This window comes from Homo sapiens, chromosome 13, assembly GCF_000001405.40.
Source record: "Homo sapiens chromosome 13, GRCh38.p14 Primary Assembly".
Taxonomy (NCBI): Eukaryota; Metazoa; Chordata; class Mammalia; order Primates; family Hominidae; genus Homo; species Homo sapiens.
The window spans coordinates 77718428-77737570 of record NC_000013.11 but is presented as its reverse complement, the minus strand read 5'-3'; the positions used below and the strand labels follow the sequence as shown (position 1 = coordinate 77737570).

Below are 19143 nucleotides of genomic sequence, written 5' to 3'. Positions count from 1 at the left end.
TTGGACTAAAGCATAGGGTATAAGAGAAGAGTTAGGGCTGGAGAGGTTGGTAGGTTTGGGTTTTGCACTGTCTCATATCTATACACATTAATGAACAGTTTATACTTTAATGAACAGTTAGTGTTTTGACTGTGAGAAGGTGAAAGACATAATCAGATTACATTTTATGAAGATGACATAAGTAGCCATAGAAATGATGAACTAAATGGGCATGGAGACTGATGTCTGGGAGACCAGTTAAGAGGCTTGTAAATAGACCTGGTGAGACATCATGAGGTCCTGAACAAAAGCACAAGCAGAAAATTTGGTGAGAATAGGTTCAATGAGCCACATTTGAGCTGAAGTGCAGCTATCTGGCAACCCAATGAATATAGGGAGTGGGAAAAAAAGAGACCGAAGCTAATGCTTTAGTTCTTAAGACACTGATGCCATCGCACATGGAGAGCATGAGATACTCATGTTTAGATTAAAAAAAAAATTAGTTGAACTCAAGATGGTTACTGGAAATGCCTACATGCTTGTGTCCAGTATGGAGTTGGAGTTCAGGGAAGAGGGCTAGAGAGACAAACAGATTCAGGGTACATCAACAAATAGGTGTTAGATGAAGCATGATTGAAATCACCCAAGGAGAAAATACACAAGGAAAAGAGAAGGGACTGGAAGGAACAATTTAGAGTAGACAGATGGAGAATGAGTAAAGGAAACTGAGAAAGATAATTTGGGGAGGAGAATTCCAGAGGCTCAAAGATGCATCCAGTCCCAACCAAAAAAAAAAAAAGACTAATGCAGAAGAGTTTCAACATGGGAGCTAATAGTTAATAGTGGCAACTACTCAGGGAGGGCATGTAGGATAAGGACTAAAAAGAGGCTACTGGCTAGAACAACCAGGCCACTGATGAGAGCAGATTCAGCAGAAGACATAAGGAAAAATCAGTGTTAGCAGGTCAGGCAGATATAAGGTGAGGAAAAAGTCTTTGAAGAGAGATTTGGCTATAAATGTTTTTGTTGTTGTTTTGTTGTTGTTGTTGTTTAAAAAAAGAGGGGGGCTGTAGCTTGAGGAGTATAAGGCTCAAGGGAGGATGGCTTTTAGGATCAAGGAGACTTGGAGATTAGAAATAACAGACAAGAGAAGAGTCTAAGGAAAAAGAAAAGCATGGAAAAAAGTTCCTGGAGATGAGAGGAATGGGACAGAGATTAGCTAGGGGGAACAGCCTTGGAAAGGGAGGGTTCTCACTTCCTCTGAAACAGGGAGGTAAAGACAGAATACAGAGAATGAGGGAGAGGAAGGTGAGTTTAAGGCTTTTTAATCTGTAAGTTACAGGCAATAAATATGCTGAGAATATTTATTCCAGAGGCTGGAATAAAGAACCTCATGTAGTAAAAGGCTAGGATGGCCACTACTGGAAACAAGGAAAATGGTTAACCATGAAAGTGACTGCCTGGGTCAGTCTGAAAAGCATATCTCTGGAACAATTCTAATCTCAACACAAGAGCTGAGATTGAAAATGTTAGCGTGTGCCTGCCTTATCATTCTGTAAAGGGTATTTATGTCTTACAGGTTCAGGTTGAGAGTGGCTGTGTGAGAGTCATATTGTTGTCAAAATAAAAAATTTACCATAATTAAGAGGAATTTACCATAATTAAGAGGAAAAAAAAAACCACCCCAGTGACTGAAGATAATCTTCCACTGGAGATTTTAGAAACCACAGGGAAGGTCCTGAGAAGAAGAGTTAGATGGGGTCTGGAAGGCTGTGTCCAAAATGAGAGCACAGCCACAGACTAACAGTGGTCAAATATTTTCTGTAAAGGGCCAGCTGATATTTTGCTGGCCATAGGGTTTCTGTCACACCAGCTCAATGCTGACATTATGGTATGAAAGCAGCTATTGAAAAAACTGAAATGAAAATGTTTTATAGAAGCATAGATACACTTAATTTATATACACTGAGAATTGAATTTAATATTCATGGGTTATGAAATATTCTTGTTTTTTTCAACCATTAAAAAACATAAAAGGCATTTAACATTTTACATTTTAAATGCTCTTAGGCCATACAGAACAGGCAGAAAAACAGATATGGCCATAGTGTGTCAACCCCGGGCTAACATATATTACCAGTTTTATAATAGTCACTCAGAAAAACGTGCAGGGCTGGAACCATAGCATCAGGTGTTGAGACACAGCAGTGATGGCTGACAGGATACTTCTTCACTACAGTTTTCCATAACATATTGTAATAAAGACCAAGAAAAGACTGAAAGGACACTTCAGTAAGAATTCAGATGCCCGAGTTCCAGTCTTCATCCTGCCACATACTAGCTTTGAAATTTGGAGCAAATCATAACATCTTAAATGTTGCAGTGTTCTCATATGAAAAAAAGTTATGTTTGTAGGAAGAAATAAACAGGCTTTTCATGGGTACAGGATGAAAGCCTGCAGCAAGCATTCACAAATGGTAATACTTTTTTTAATGAAATGTTATAGCAAGTTGTAGCAAAAACATTCTACATTCTTTTTTATTTATTTATTTATTTATTTTTATTTTATTTTGAGACTGAGTCTCACTCTGACACCCAGGCTGGAGTGCAGTGGCACGATCTCAGCTCACTGAAACCTCCACCTCCCAGGTTCAAGCAATTCTCCTGTCTCAGCCTCCTGAGTAGCTGGGACTACAGACATGTGCCACTACACCTGGCTGTTTTATGTATTTTTAGTAGAGAGGGGGTTTCACCATATTGGTCAGGCTGGTCTCAAACTCCTGACCTCAGGTGATCCATCCGCCTCAGCCTCCAAAAGTGCTGGGATTACAAGTGTGAGCCACCGCCCAGCCAACATTCTACATTCTGAAAGAAAATGTTCTAGAAGCTAGGTAGGAGAAAAGATTCTGTAGGAGTTTTCTACTTTTCACTTTTCCTGATTCTAAAGAAGTGTAACCTAGTCTTCTCAAAACAATGGGCCGGCTTCTTACACTGTATCTACCTAGACAACTATGGCGACTTAGTCTTTGCTCAGTTGTTACCAACTCAGAAGCAAAACTGAACTGTCTGACCTTCAAAAGCTTGGTCAGGATAGGTCAACAGTTCTTACTTATTTATCTTGACTCTTAATGATGTTCATTACCAGAGTTCTGGAAAATAAGGAAAAAGTAAGTGAAGCAAATCCTGCTTTTTTCTTTCTTTATACAACAGGCATGCAAGCCTCAGTTCCAAGCCAAACAGAGGAATCCAACTTCTAGTCCTTTATAAATACCAGTTACCGAATGGCCTAAGATCAGTGAAGGTAAAGGAAACATCAGCTCCTTTAAGAATTTTTTATTCTCCCTTAAATTGGCAGGGAGTTTTACCGAGAACACAGCATTCTGACCCAAACCCATAAACCACCAGGGCAGGAAAATCTCCATTTCCATAAACCATCCTCTCAGGTATAAACTTCTTAGGTGATATTATATCTTTACGTATTTAGAGCCTATAGAAATCCTTGGCACACAGATGTGCTCAAATGTTTACACTAAACTTTAACAAAAGAATTCAAAAACCAAGGTGAAGACAGCAATTTACTGGTTCACTCTCATAAACTCTGTCTGCACAGACTGAGATACAAGCTTTCTGGAAAGGCTGTAAGTTCACAGTAGGTAAGTGCTGCTGACTTGGCTCCAACCTGAGCAACCCTTCTGGAGCAGTAACATATGGCTTGCAGCTTATCTGATCCAATATTTTTTATTGGGTAAACTTGAGTAGCATTAGTTTCTCCACAGTGCTTGACGACCTGATAAACAAGCATATGGGGTCTAGGAAGTCCTACTACTTTGAAGCAGATGTTCACAGTACTCCTTCCCAGACATGCATGAAATACAGAGAATTCAACTGTAATGTATTTGTCAGTGTATTTACATAAGAAGGGTTGAAGAACTACTAAATGCACCTAATTGGTAGTCTTAGGGACGATTCAATCAAAGTAAGTTAGTCATTATACCCAAGTCTCACAGTCTTCAAATTTAGCTATGAAAAACTTATCAGAAAGTTAGTTTGTATCTTTTCCTGCAGTTCCCATTCATTCAAACTATGACAATGAATGTAATAACTTAAAAATCATTAACCATCATATATATGTATGAGTACCTATGATACCAGGATACTACAGATACTCAATCTTTAAACTTCCAATTTTACTCAAAATGTAATATTTTTAAAACATGATTTATATACCATCTTTAAGAAATACCCAATGCAAGAGTTCATTAGTTCATATGTAATTAATATGCAGAGTTAATGAAGAAAATCACTTTTGATATTAGGATTAAGCTTTAAAATATATTCAGTTCAAAAGTAACAAAGCAGTTGTATACTCCTGACAATTGGCAGGTAAATGTTTCATAAATATTTGTTGAATGAGAGTTACAAATTCCACCATGTTGCATAAGGAGTACTACTGAATAACATTTATTCCACGGAAATCAGAGTTTTATAATTATTCTTGACACTAAGTTTAAAAGGTCAAGTGTTTCTTAGGTTTTAATAGGAAACATAATCTTAATGGATAAGGCATCTAATCATAATTAAAGGATTAGACCTTATCTACTTCTCAGATCTTAACCCACTGCACGATCACACATCTAATGCTCTTCCCTCATGACTATTATCGGATCCTTCTGCGGGACTTCTTTAACCAGGACAACAGTCTCAAAGTAGAGCTGAAACATAAAGGTCAGAAAGGGGAAGTTATCTTGACTATCAACTTGTTTCCACTTAATCATTGGTCAAAACTGAAGATAAGACAACAGCTTTAAGCACACCAGATCAAATCCAGTATTATCCAGGACCAGAGTGACTGCTACAACTTCACAAGTCATCTTCTGACTTCCCATCTGCAATTAATAGTGGAGATTTAAAAAAAAAAAATGTAGTAGTAATTACACTTCAAAGGCATGTTTAAAAATTCCCTTTTATAGAAGCCATTTTCCCTTTAGGTCTGTGTGTCTGCTATAGTTTAAATCAAACTTAATAATTTAATCTTAAAAGAACAAAGAAGAAGACTGATCTAATAATTTGGCAACGATGAGATGTTGTCAAACAGATTACAGACGGCTGCTTCCAATTTAGACTACAGCCACAATGCAAGCTGACAACCAGCTAGAATAACTTACAGGTTCTACACTGAAATCATGAGGTAAGGTAAGCAATATGTTACAGAATCTAATTACATGAAGAAATAGGCTAAATAATCTCATGCTGAAAACAGAGGGCCCTCCCTCTGAAAGGACAGACTAGATTTTTACTAAGAGTCTTCACGCCTATGACTGGGTAAAGTGTGGTGGCAAATCCAAGCTTTTAGAAAGCACTGTCAGTTATTGAATGGAAGAGTGATGAGAAGAGAATTTGTATAATCCTTCCTCCCCAGTGTCTCTGATACTAAAAGACTCTTCTTTGAGTTATGGCTTATCCCAGTAACAGAAAAGGCCTCTGACCCACTAATCTTAAGAGACGATAGAAAGTAAATATACAAATTCAGAGTTCTGACCAAGGGAAAACTATCTTTGGCCCTAAAACTAACCCATTCATGATTTTATTAAAATACCTGCACACAAAACAACACTAAAATATACATTAAAGGCCTAAAACAGGAGTCTCTTTTCCTTCCCCACCCAGGCCCACTTTCCACTTTGTTTTTCATAATTTCAATACAATTACATAATTAGTATATAACTTTAAATAGACAATAGAAAATCCAATCATCGCCTTGTTGGTATCTGATTTCCCACCATGAAAGGTTATTTAGTATATATGCACCTTCTCCGTATCCATCTCCAGATTTGACAGTTCTATTTTTACACTGTCAAGGTTTACTGGATTTTCATTCTGTTTTATAGCTGTGATTGGGATAGCTATAAGGTGATCACTAGATACGACAGGACCAAGGTAAAGAAAGTAATTTTTCTGCTCTAGAACACAACTACCAGGTGAAGAACATCACAAGCCTGAGAGTCAATCACTGTCTTATTTCATCTTCATCTTTCTCAGCTTCTCCTAGGTCATCTCCGAGGCTACTGTTTTCTAGATCTCATGTGATCTTTTTTCCTTGTACGTTTCCCACTGTTAAAATAGGGTGCACAAAGGGTAAAACTTTCAACCATTTTAAGATAAAATCCAGACTTTGCATAAGCAAAAGTTTCTTTTGCTCCTACACTTATTTGCTTCGGTACAGGATTATAGTTTGAAAATAACTTTCTTCCTTAAAACTTTAAAGACAATATTAATTTTTTATCTAGCATCCAATATTACTTATAAAATGTCTGAAATTTGTTATACTATAGATAAACTCCCAATAATGTTCAAATGAAGGAATAGTTTATCTTTAATTCTGGAAAATCTGAAATTCAATAACCAGGAGATCTAGGTGCATGGCTTTTTTTCATCTATCTTAGTTCATCCTGAGGATCTGTCAAAGAAATTTTCTTCTATTATTTACTGATTATTTCCTTTGTTCAGTACGTTCCTGCTTCTAGAACTCCTGTTAAAACATGAGAGGTTCTGGGTCTGTCTTCTTTTGTCCCCTCACTTCTCTCATATTTTCCATCCCATTTTGGTAGATTCCTTTGGCCAACTTTCAGAGAAGCAGCTTGGTTCTTAGCCCTGTCCATTCTTCCTTCAATATGTCTAAGAAATTAAAAATGACCAAAAAACTTATGATTTAATTGCTTGTTTTCCCAGCAGGTATCCTTTTACTGATCCAACTTCATTTATCTGAAAATGCTATAAAAATGGAAGACCAGACTGAGCATGCATATGCAAATACATATACACAAGTACAGGACACACCCGATGACAGCAAATCTGCATTTCAAAAGCCTAGTAAATTTAAATACACTGTTTCTTGAAATACAACCTTACAACTATGACAGTAGAAAAAAATTAAACTCACAAATTGACAAGAGCTCCAAAACTCAAATATATTAAACTTATTACTATATAGAAGTTTAAAGCTCCCAAATATTATAAATAATTGAGAACATCAACAAATCAAACCCTTATGTTTCCGAAGTAAATTAAGTGTCACGAGAACTTGGCCACATTTTCATCTACCATTTCTCACATTAGTCACATAAGAAATTTGGGATATTAATGAAAAAGAAGAAAACATTCCCAAGTTTATCTAAGACTCTCCCTTAAAAATTGCTAAAGCCTAACCTTACCCATGTTCCAAAGAATTTCTAAAACCACCATTTCACTCTCCACAGTTCACCAGATTTCCAAAAAAGGCTCTGCCTTCTAAGACAATTCAGGTAATATCCTGTAGCTTAGCTGTTCAGTTACATCACTCCTTTACTAAAAATTATTCAAAGGTTTTTCAACCATTTTAAGATAAAATCCAGAATCTTTAACTGCCCTGAAGACGCTGCACACATGTCTAGTTTCTAGTTTCATTTAGAGTCATTTCCCTCCATTACACCCCAACCACAACAGCCTGCCGTTTCCTCACATTATGTCCCACTGCAGGGCCTTTCCACATGCTATTGCTATCCTTCCTCTCCAATGTCTCTGAGACTGAAAGACTCTTCTTTGAGTTATGGCTTATCCTAGTGACAGAAAAGGCCTGGGACACTCTTCCTCACCTCCTCCTCCCGTTGGATGGACGAACAGATGGACACACGGACACACACACACACACACAGAGTTACTGGCTTAACTCCCACTGACTCTCCGGTCCCAGCTGATGCCTCACGTCTTTGGGAAATCATTTTCTGATCATACCCCTGGGTCAGGCTGCCATTCGCATCATTATGCTTCTTTTATGGGACAGGAAGAACAAAGAACTGCTATCTTGTCATCTGTTTTTTGCATCAGAATGCATGTTCCCAAGGCCAGGCACTGAGCTCATCTTGCTTGCCACTGCACCCTGTATTTAGCACTGACTGTACCTAATAAGTACTCAACACATTTCATGTATTGTAATCATCTGATCAAGCCCCAGTGTTTCAGAAAAGAGAGTCTAGAAAGTCTTGCTTTAAACCTGACTATTCTGTAGAGGTCCCAAGAAACAGGTACCAACACCTACCAAAAAAAAAAAAAGAATTTCACTATGATAGAGTCAAATTTAATCAACCGTCACAGTAGTATGAAAGCAGTAGACAACTACTTTGGGAGAATCTCTATTGTTTTATTTTTTCCTTGGTGGAGATAGGTAACAAAATAGCATGTCAATAATAAATTCACCAGAACAACCATTATTGTTTATTTTGAAAAACACTTTTCGAATCATGGTAGAAATGCAAAGTGAAACCAAAGGAAAAAAAAACACATGGAAACACAAGTACAAATTAGCAAAAGAAAAAAGGATTACTTAAGGAAATTTGGCAAACACATATCAGGTTGTAGGGTATAATGGACTGAAACTGCAAATTTCATAGAAGCACAATCCCTTATTATCTGTTACTGTACTAAATCATTGCCAATACTGAAGTAAATGCACTGGGGCTATTCTGAACATAAGAGCAAAGCAACATAAAGATGTGATGAAATCCCACAGCTATGACAATGCATTTTCCATTTTCAGCACACAGGAATGATAGCATGTATCAGGAGACCCTGTCTCTGCACAAAAATTCCAATATGATTCCAGATTGTTTTTCCAGTGAGAAAAGAAATTCTTTACAAAGCTTACCCAAAATGAACCTCACAGACTAAGTTTTAATTTTGTGTTCCAAGTTTGACAGAGCATCTCGAGACTAGAAATATGAGCTAGTGGAGATAACATCTTGGGCCAAGCAAGGAGAGACTGGACAGGTTCCAGAAGACAGACATTTGATAAGCTTAATGTCTCAGTTCAATCTGTGTGGATTTTAACAAAAGAAAGGGTCACTCGCAGAACTGTGGATTAGTCTACAACTTTCTTCTTCATCAGCTAAATTTGGACATTAACACTCCTTTATAACAACTAAAATAAGATTGGGAACTGGTACCATATGAAGATAAAAGAAAAACTCAATGAATGGGGTAATTTCTATTCACATTTCCTTAGTATCTAATCCCAGAGGAAATGACAGATGGTCATAGCGAAACATGAGCCAAGGATATAATTGTGTAGGCCTCCACTATTTGTGAAAAGTACACCTACTCTGCTCAAATGTGACCTGTCCTGATTCAATAGTTATAGACATTCAAGTACCTTAAGCCAAGATAAGCTTTTATTAACTGGCCCCAAATTAACTGAGCCACATTTTGGGCGTTTCAAATTACTTAGATAAGCCTTTGATCATTATTTGGTTATTTAACATCCCAGCCTCATGCGTGAATTTACCAAAGACCCTAGATTAGCCTTATTTCAATTTAGGATATCAAGTGAGCTAATCCTACCCATGAAAGTTCTATGCAGTTTTGTTATTTTTATTCTAAAGGGGTAGAGGGGGGTTAGAAAGATGGGCGAGTTAGAAATGGAATACACACAGATCTAATAAAAAATAAAATAAAAACAACCAACTAAAGAGATTGTTGTAGATTTTCTATGTTGAATAATAAACTACACTTACAAAATTTTTCAGTGTAAGATCCCTAACAAATACCTGTATTTGTAGGTAGAGAAAACAGATACCCACCCTCTGCCAAAAACACACTTAGTTTTCTATGAAGTATAAGTAGCCAGGCAAAGAGGATTCCCTGTATTTTATGTTCAATTTCTAAATGAAAATCTGTACATTAGGAATGTTTCTGTATATGTAGTACTCCACATTTCTGAAGTAATTTCACATCCAATATTTCCAGAAATCTTTCTAAAATAGCCCTGTGAAATCTGCTAAATGTCCCCACTTACTAGGCAAGGCCCTAGAAATAAGGACAACCATCTCAATCACAGTGGAGCAGGGATGAGGCATAACTATTAAGGTGAAAACTTCCACCATATTCACTCCTTCAACAACTAGCATACAACACCTACAGTGCGATGGGAGTTATTCCAGGCACAGAAAGGGTCACAGCAATGAACAAAACAGACTGAAACCCCCACGCTCAGAACTAACACTTTAATGAACACCACTCTGTTTTGGTTTTTTGAGGGTTTTTGTTTTTTTTTTTTGGCTTGGCTAGTAGGATGCCATTTACAACACCAAATGTTCAATGAAAATTGTTTTGTTTTTTTTTTTGCCCAACTTAAAAAATTTAAACATACTCAAATTAGTCAATCACACAAAAAAAATTCAGTACTTAAAACATGCTGAAAAATTTATTAAGCACTGGCAATTCAAAAAACAATTTTAGGTATAGACCTCCATCTTCAGATGCTTAATCTATTTGGAAAAAGTCACATACATTAACAACTAAATAAAAAGAAGTTCACAAAACAGGGTGCCTCGAAATAGAAAGCAAACATCGTTAGGACCATCTTCAAAAGAGGAAAACCAACCAAGATACTGAGCTTTGTTGAAGACTGCATACTCAAATAAGTGGCCAGTGTTCTGGGGGAAAAAAGAGAAAGATTATTCTATTCTAGGCTTTATTAGTTAACTTTATACCAACAGACTGCAGATTTAGAGATGCCAGGAGATTTTAATTTCCAGCAATGTTATTTCACTTTTAACATTACTTTCTGTAAATTATCCAAAAAAGCCATTTACACTATTCACATATAAGGGGGAGACACCTAATATTTGAGCCATTATCTCATCTAATTTACAAATATCTATTTCCTTATAACAACACTACAAAATAAATACAAATGTAAAAGAGGCTGAGAAAACTTAAGTAACTTGACTGTGCTGACTACATGATACACAAGACTTTATAAATTGTAAAATCTGAATATTAAAAGATCAGCTTGGAAAAGAGGATAGTAAGTTTTGCAATTTATAATAAAAAGTTTCTTAGGGCCAAGCACAGTGGCTCATGCCTATAATCCCAGCACAGGGAGGCCAGGTGGGCAGATTGCTTGAGCCCAGGAGTTCAATATCAGCCTGGGCAACATGGCAAAATCCTGACCCTGCAAAAAATTTGCCAGGTATGGTGGCATACATCTGCAGTCCCAGCTACTTGGGAAGCTAAGGTGGGAGGGTCACCTGAGCCCAGGGAGGTCAAGGCTGCAGTGAGCCGTGGTTGCGTCACTGCACTCCAGCCTAGGCAATAGAGTAAGACCCTGTCTTTAAAAAAAAAAGTTTCTTAGATCCAAGTCAATTAATATTCCCTATAAGAATTAGGGGTATTAGATACATATTAGTCATCTGTAGGAATATACTATATGCACTAAAAATAACTATCTTATTATATCTTTTAAAAAATATTTAACCATTTGCAAAATTGTGGTTGTGAAGACAACGTATTTTTTAGCAATATTTTAAAAACAGTGATAATGCAGGTGCTGTCTCCCTACAAAATTAAATCTTATAAAAATCCCTTTCCTTCATTTTCTTCAGAAAAAAAAACTTTCTGCAGAAGGGCAGAATTCTAATAAGCTTGTTCTCACAATCTCAAGACAAAGCTTAACTGTGTCCCATACATTCTCTCATAACTTAGCAAGTTTTGTTATCTAGGTCCAGGGTCAAAAGTTGTCAGATACATCATGAAAGCTTTTTGAGGAATCTATGAAATCACAAATGTAGGCAGCAAGAAGAGAAATAGGCCTGGGCCCTGCAAGAAGTTACAGTACAAATAAGCTCATTAGCAATTGTGCAGTTAGAGACAATCTTGGGAGAAATGCAGCCAGATGGACCTACAGAAACCAACCTTGACAAACCCTTACTCAGATGGCTTCCTGGGGATGCTTACTCCATAAACAAGGAGGGACGGCTAACTTACCACCGTGGCTAACTTGCAGCCAAGAAAACAGACTGGGCTAACGGCCTAGGGTAAAGAGGAAATAAGGTAGAAGAGGGTTTAAGACCAGCTCTGCCCACCAGAAACATTCTGGCTCCTCACAGCTATGCCCCTCTCCACATTTCCTACAAAGGAATTAATCTTTACTTTTTGAAGAATTTTCTTTTCAAAACATCAAGGTCAAAAAAGAGGAACCAAGTTTCGAAAATATTTGCTCAAATATTACATAAGCAGCAGCATCTCATCTGAAGCTCCAGGCTCACATTAAGGAACTTTTACCTATCTGTCAATGAAAGAGTTAAGAGTATGAGAGACAAAAGCATAATGCAGAGAGGAAGAGGGTGAAAAGGAGAGGGTAGCTTTACCCTTTGTTTACCTCTCATCACTCCTACTCATGGCTGTGAATTTCTTAGTGAAGTGTCTTTAATTTCTGTGTATACAGAGGGAGATGTATAACTCCTAAGGACTTCAATTAATCACTTTGCAACAAAGTGTGTAAGATAAGTAGAAAGTGACTGTTTTAGAGTAAACATGCTTGTGAATGGGAAAGCAATACTGCAAGCTGATACTTCAACTGATGCTAGTCTATGCCCTGAATATAAGAGGTGGCTAATAAGGAAAATGTTGCAAGGACCCCGACCCATCTTAAATTATTCAACACCAAAACTGAAACAGTAGTAATAGTTACATTGGGCTCAAAAAAACATTCATTTACTTTAGCAACAGCATCTATTTTGTGTCAGGTACCCTTCTAGGAATTAGAGAACTGGTGCTCAACAAAACAAAGTCCATTCCCTTGGGCAATTTATATTCAAATGAAAAGAAACAACTCTAGTCTCAAAGAAAACACTCAGTAATATCTGTTACTCAAAAATGCGGACTGCCCAAGGGAGAAATTAAGTCTAAGCAAAAAGAAAAATAAAATGACGAGTTACTGGGTGCAGCACACCAACATGGCACATGTATACATATGTAACAAACCTGCCCATCATGCACATGTACCCTAAAACTTAAAGTATAATAAAAAAAAGAAAAATGCTTTATTAGAGAATTATTGAAACCAAAAATATGGAAAGCTCGCATTATTCCAATTAAATCTTTATGTTATGAATAAAGTGTGGGTCAAAACCATAATTTTTGATATCTGTCAATTAACCATCATTGACAAAGGACCCCCTTAATTGGAAGCCAGTAAGTATTCTTCAATATGGGGGATTAACTATGAATTCCTCCCTATTCTCTTATAAAACCACACTACAGTAAGAGTTAAACTCAAACTCTTATAAAGCCATAGGAAGACTGAACGGGACAGGAGACAATTATCACACTCGGGATGGTCACAACATCTTAGAAATGAAAAGCGGAAGAGACTTGGGTTTTGACATCCTCTGTTCTATGGCCTTACAGCAAAAAGAAACTAATAAGGACCTAGCAAGGTTCTGGAATCGTAGGTGCGAAGTACCACAGAGGGTAGGGAGTTTTGTGGTGAAGTGAAAAAAACCAGGTGACTGAAAATCTATAGGAAAGCACCTAAACCCTCCAGCTCCCCACCCCGCCTGCTCAGGCAACTGCTCCTCTCCTACTTTGATCAAAGACAGGCTTCATTACCTGAATAAACTGAAATAGAAAGCCACTAGATTTTACAAACACAAATAAAAATACCTTACAGATCTGGAGGACTAAGTGAAAATCTGAATACCAGAAGGTGAGCTCAATGAGGGCAGAGACTTAATACCTGTGCTGTTCACTGATGCATCTCCATCACCTACAATGGTACCTGGTACATAGAAGTCACTCAATATGCAGCAGTAGAGTTTAGAAGATGTGTTTTTTTTTTTTTTTAATCTCCAAAAAAGTAGAACAACAGCAACAAAATCAAGAATAGAAAGCCAGAGAGAAAAATATAAAATTTGAACATCAATCTAGGCGATTCTGACCCACAGAAGTATCTAGAAAGAATAGAGAAAACAAGGGCGGAGGGCTACGAATACAAAGAAATAATGCAAGAAATTTTGCAGAACTAAAGTTTATAGCACACACAAAATAAATGAAATTTCAGAATACCAAGAATAAAAGACAATATTCTAAAATATTCATGTTATTTTAGGTAGAAAGGTCACAAATAAGAATCAGAAATAAGAACGGTGCTGAACTTCAACAGCAACCCCGAAGCTAAAATATAATGGAATAATGCCTTCTAAACTCTGTGGGAAATGGTTTTTAACCTAGAATTCTATACCTAACCCAAATAACAATCCTGCATAAGAGTGAAAGTAGGAATAAAGATGTTTTGAAACACAGGAGGTTCTCAAAATTTACCTGCCACATATCCTTTTTCCCTCTACTCTCCCAAAAAAGCAAATGCAGAAATATTCGTTTCTTTTAATGGAATAGAAAGGAAAGTACTTGTATCTCAGAAGCAGGTAATATAGCACTGAAGAGGGGCCAGAGAAATTCCCAGGATAAGCAAAAGAAAGTCCCACCATGATGGCTCTTCAGAGGCTAAAGATGACTAGTTCCAAGTAGAGTAAGAGAATAGGGCGCTGCCTGAAGGAACAGTAACAAAACAAAATTCTTGGATTTATGTGTCTCATACTGCGGATGGTTCATCAAGAGAGTTTGGGGATAAATTAATGACAAGGACCCTGTCTTATAAATTATAACAGCAACAACAACAACAAAACTAGGTGTCTTTTTCCAATTAATTCTGAAAAAAAATGTTAGATGGGCTGGGCACAGTGGCTCACGCCTGTAATCTCAGCACTTTGGGAGGCCAAGGTAGGTGGACTACCTGAGATCAGGCATTCAAGACCAGCCTGGCCAACATGGTGAAACCACATCTCTATTAAAAAATACAAAAATTAGCCAGGCGTGGTTGCGTGTACCTGTAATCCCAGCTACTCAGGAGGCTGAGGCCAGAGAATCCCTTGAACCCAGGAGGCAGATGTTGCAGTGTGCTGAGATTACACCACTGCACTCCAGCCTGGGCACAGAGCAAGAATCTGTCTCAAAAACAAAAAAGTTAGATGGAAAAAGAAATGATAAAATATTGCATGGCTTGAATATAACTTTCTATCATAATATATACTGATGTCCCCTAAAGGTAGTAAAAGGTTACATAGAAAGGACATGCAGAGAAAAAATATAGAAGTGAGGTGTAAAAGAATTAAATCTTCACCATCCAAAGTCAAAAGCCAATGGATAATGTTTAAAATGAAAAAATTCAAAGCAATGGCCATATAAACATGGAATTTAAAAAGAGAGGTAAACAGTAAAACCAAAACAAATAGCTTTTCTTAAGTATATCTGGGAAATAAAAAGGGCATGAGAGATTGGGGCAGCAATTTGATATTTGTCTTATAACAGTTGTAAGACTATTTTTTAAACTATATTTTATAAAATATAAGTTGAATTTTTTAAAAAAGAATTTTCTCCAGTAAACAACCTAATTGGTTACTTCTTATCTCAACAGGATTATGGATTATGGATCTCTGGAATAAAAACATTTAGTGTCACAGCAAAAGAAGTTTTGAGTTTATATACAAATTAAGTAAAAGACTAATTTTGGTTTTGAAAAACTCGTTCTCTAAACTTTTACAGGAAGTTTAAATAAATTACATCATGAACAAAACTGCAGTATGCCAGTTCCTATCCTCATGACCTCACGATTCTGCCTGAGCTCCACATCAATGAAAGGAAAATCGGATAATGAAGCACTTAGTCTAATATCTCAATAGCAACCACCAATTAGGATTACTTTTTAGAAAAGAAAAAAAAACCTAACCTTATATGTAAATGTATCTAGTGTGCAAATGACATAATGCTTATATGTATGTAAATCTATCTAGTGTGCAAATGACTTAATGCCGGGGTGGGTAAACTGTGGCCGAGAGTACCCCAAATCCAGCCCACTCCTGCTTTTGTAATAATTCACCAGCTAAGAAATGTTTTCATATTTTTTTAATAATTGGGAAAAATATATACATTTTGTGACACGTGAAAAACCACACAAAATTCAAATGTCAGGGCTTGTAAATAAAGTTATATTGGAATGCATCCTCATTCATTAATTTCTGCATTGATCATTGTTTTCTGGGCATGGCTAAGTTGAACAGTCATGACAGAGATTATGTAGCCCACAAAATCTAAAATATTGACTATCTATCTCCTTTCAAAAAAAAGTTTGTTGACCCCTGAGATAAAGGACTAATTCTGAATTCAATTTGAATTTTACTTCAAATTATTGAGCCAAATTTGTATGTTAAAATGTAGATATAAGTCACTGAGTCAAGGATTAAGTAAGGAGGCTTAGGAATGGTCTATATAACCCTTCAAAGAGTTAATCCAAAGGGATTTAATGGTTTGTGTATTAGTCTGTTCTCACACTGCTACAAAGATACTACCTGAGACTGGGTAATTTATAAAGAAAGGAGGCTTAATTGATTCACAGTTCCCCATGGCTGGGGAGGCCTCAGAAAACTTGCAATCATAGTGGAAGGTAAAGGGGAAGCAAGGCACATCCTTACATGGTGGCAGGAGAGAGAGAAAGTGAAAGAGCGAGGAAGTGCCACACTTAACACCATCAGCTCTCATGAGAACTCCCTATCATGAGAACAGCATGGGGGAAACCGCCCCCATGATCCAGTCACCTCCCACCAGGTGCCTCCCTCTACATGTGAGGATTACAAATGGAGATGAGATTTGGCTGGGAACACAGAGCCAAACCGTATCAGTTTTCTTCGAGTCACTTAGGTAAATGGGAACAGAATGAATACTACAGCCTCCGACTCTGAGATGGCTGCTCTGTTAGATGAGCATCTATCACCAAAGTTTTAACCCTAACATGCCTTTGTCCCTACACTGCTCTTCAACTTTCCATTATTAAGTCACCTGTTTCATTTCAGTTAAAATGTTAATAAAATACATTCTTTCATCCCACCTTCCGAGTATTTAACAGATTTCTGTTGATATTTACTTATGACCATGCCAATACGGCAGTACAGAATACTAATTAAGTATGGAGACTCTGGTTTCAGAGAGACCCTGGCTCTGACTCTGTCCCTGAGTATCATTCTGCCTTGTAACCCTGGGAACTTCTCTAAACTTCGTATTTCTCACCTCTAAAGATGAGTTCAGTTACACTGAATAAGATGAAGGATGTCAAGAATGTAAAGGTAATGAATGTCATAGAATTAAGAGCTCTTGAAGCATTATCTATAATGCTTTGTCTTATGTCCAAACATGTTATTCATTATCCTCAAAGAGCTTCATGGGCAGCGTTCTCAAATATCAGTGTACATGAGAATCACACTGGTGAACTTCTCAATGCAGACTCCCCTGACTCTACCCTCAAACAGTATCATTCTTTAATCTGGAGGCTCCGGAATCTGTACTTTGAAGCTCATGTATGATTTGGATGCAGGTGGTCCATGGAATAGAAACAGTGTTCCCAGAGGATCAAACAGATGCCCAGAGGTTAAGAGACAAGCCAAAAGCCTACATAATTACAGCTTCAAGTAGTTCCCTGCATCAAATAGCAAGGAACTGAGTACCACTCATTCATTTTTGCTGTTTTTCCAACTGCCCTTTTTTTAAATTTAAACTTCTGTTAGGCTCCATAAGTTAATTAATGTTACAGACAATATGAAGATTTCTTAGTTTTTAAAGGTTAGCACTTCCAGTTATACATCCAACTAAATGTTAAAGACACTCAGTAAGGTCAGTACTCAGATCCCCATGAAATCCTGTTTTCTGCCTTAGAAAACAGCCACACAACCTTGTTACTGACCCCAGAGCACTGATAACTGACAATTTTTTTGACTGGTATATTTGCAAACAGAAAAAAAAAAGAAATAAATTTGTGTGTTCCTACATTGCAATATGAACTAAAGCAAACTAAAAATATGGCTAAAATCAAGCACAAAACTAAACACATCTTACATTGAGAAAGCTTGATGTGTAATACATGTGAAGCAAATTGCATGCAACAGCTGCACCTCAGGGTAAGAATTTTCAATTGAAATGTTTATTCCAAAACCAGCAACAAAAGCAGCACTGAGAGTGACAAGAGTTGGAGAATGTAAATGCACACACTCACAATTACCTTGCTCCAGTCTAAAGCACAGGGAACGTCTCGCTGCTTCCATCTCAGGAGTTGGGTTATCTAGGACATGTCTACACCACTGCAAAGGAGTCAGGGATTTCTCTGATGAGGTGAACGTCTTTGAAGAGCCAATGTATAACCTTAAAAAAAGAAATCTACATTATAGGTATGATATAGGTATACAGAGAGTACCTCTCTCTGGGGAAAGCAACATGTATTTAACAATTTCCATAGAAACAGAACTCATATTTGATGACTTCAAAGTATCAGAAATAGTTTTTAACAGGCAAATATCCCCAAATAGAATATGACACTTCCTGTAGCCTGGTGAGAACTTCCAAAAAAAGGTCTAACAATTTTCCCCCTAACTGTGTGTTTCAGCATCAGAGATCAAGGGCTTTTTTTTTTTTTTTAACTAAACTAGCCCTAAAAAGGCACTATCATGATCTTACTATCTCTATTGACATGTCAAGAAATGAACATTTTCATCTTTCTCTTTGGCAACAGAATCTTTTGTAAACTTGGGCTAATGAAGGTAAACATGATGTGACAAACAAGGCAAATCTTATGTGTATTTTTTAAAAATAAGTCTAAACACCCGTAAAAGCCAGTCACTTGATTCTTTGAACCCTTACATAATCACATATTTCTCCTGTCTCAAATCTATACTAACCTTGGTATATGTTTCTTTTTCATTAAAGCCAAACAAAGAGCTTTAAAAGATATGTTTTACGAAGACTTCACTTTCAGCACCTACACAATTACACAGTAATGGATAGTATTCAAAATGACTACCCGGAGGCACTGCAAGTTATAAAAAAGCTTCTCTCATTAATATGCCATGTTAAGGTAGATTTTAGAATATTTTCAGTGATAGGGCTATACAGAAAGGTTTATCTTGAGGAATAAACAGCAGTTAACTAAAAAAGGGGGGAGGGTGAATTACCTCCCCAAAACTGCTGGCTCTAATACGTGACACCTTACTACTATAAGCTTACATTAATTACAAATCTAAAGTAATCTTCTTTCCAACAAAGCTACCACAATTCTAATAAGCACATATTCTTGAAATAACATACTTCATTATTCATACTTTCACTGTTCTAGACAAAACGTTCACCTATTAGAGTAATTTATCAGTTATACAAGATGGTTGGGGAATGTACTATTCTTCAGTAAATTATTCTTACAGATCAGGGATTGCCAAATGTTTTCTGTAAAGGACCGGCAAGTAAATATTTCAG

General features: G+C 36.9%; 1 protein-coding gene across 4 annotated transcripts in view, besides 1 other annotated feature; it reads right to left on the bottom strand.

The window, feature by feature from the left end:
- Positions 1–19143, bottom strand: part of SLAIN1 (SLAIN motif family member 1) — a 66543-nt gene that overhangs the window by 26659 nt on the left and 20741 nt on the right. For all 4 annotated transcript variants that reach the window (NM_001411026.1, NM_001242868.2, NM_001366665.1 and 1 more), the window contains exon 2: positions 17900–18039. In NM_001411026.1, the coding sequence (NP_001397955.1) occupies positions 17900–18039 (140 nt within the window). The remainder of the gene's footprint in view (positions 1–17899; positions 18040–19143) is intronic.
- Positions 13283–13412: an enhancer, noted in NCBI's record as "active region_7846". NCBI's record gives its function as "activates an Ori minimal core promoter by ATAC-STARR-seq in GM12878 lymphoblastoid cells {active_cell/tissue: GM12878}" and the evidence as "EXISTENCE:reporter gene assay evidence [ECO:0000049][PMID:35858748]".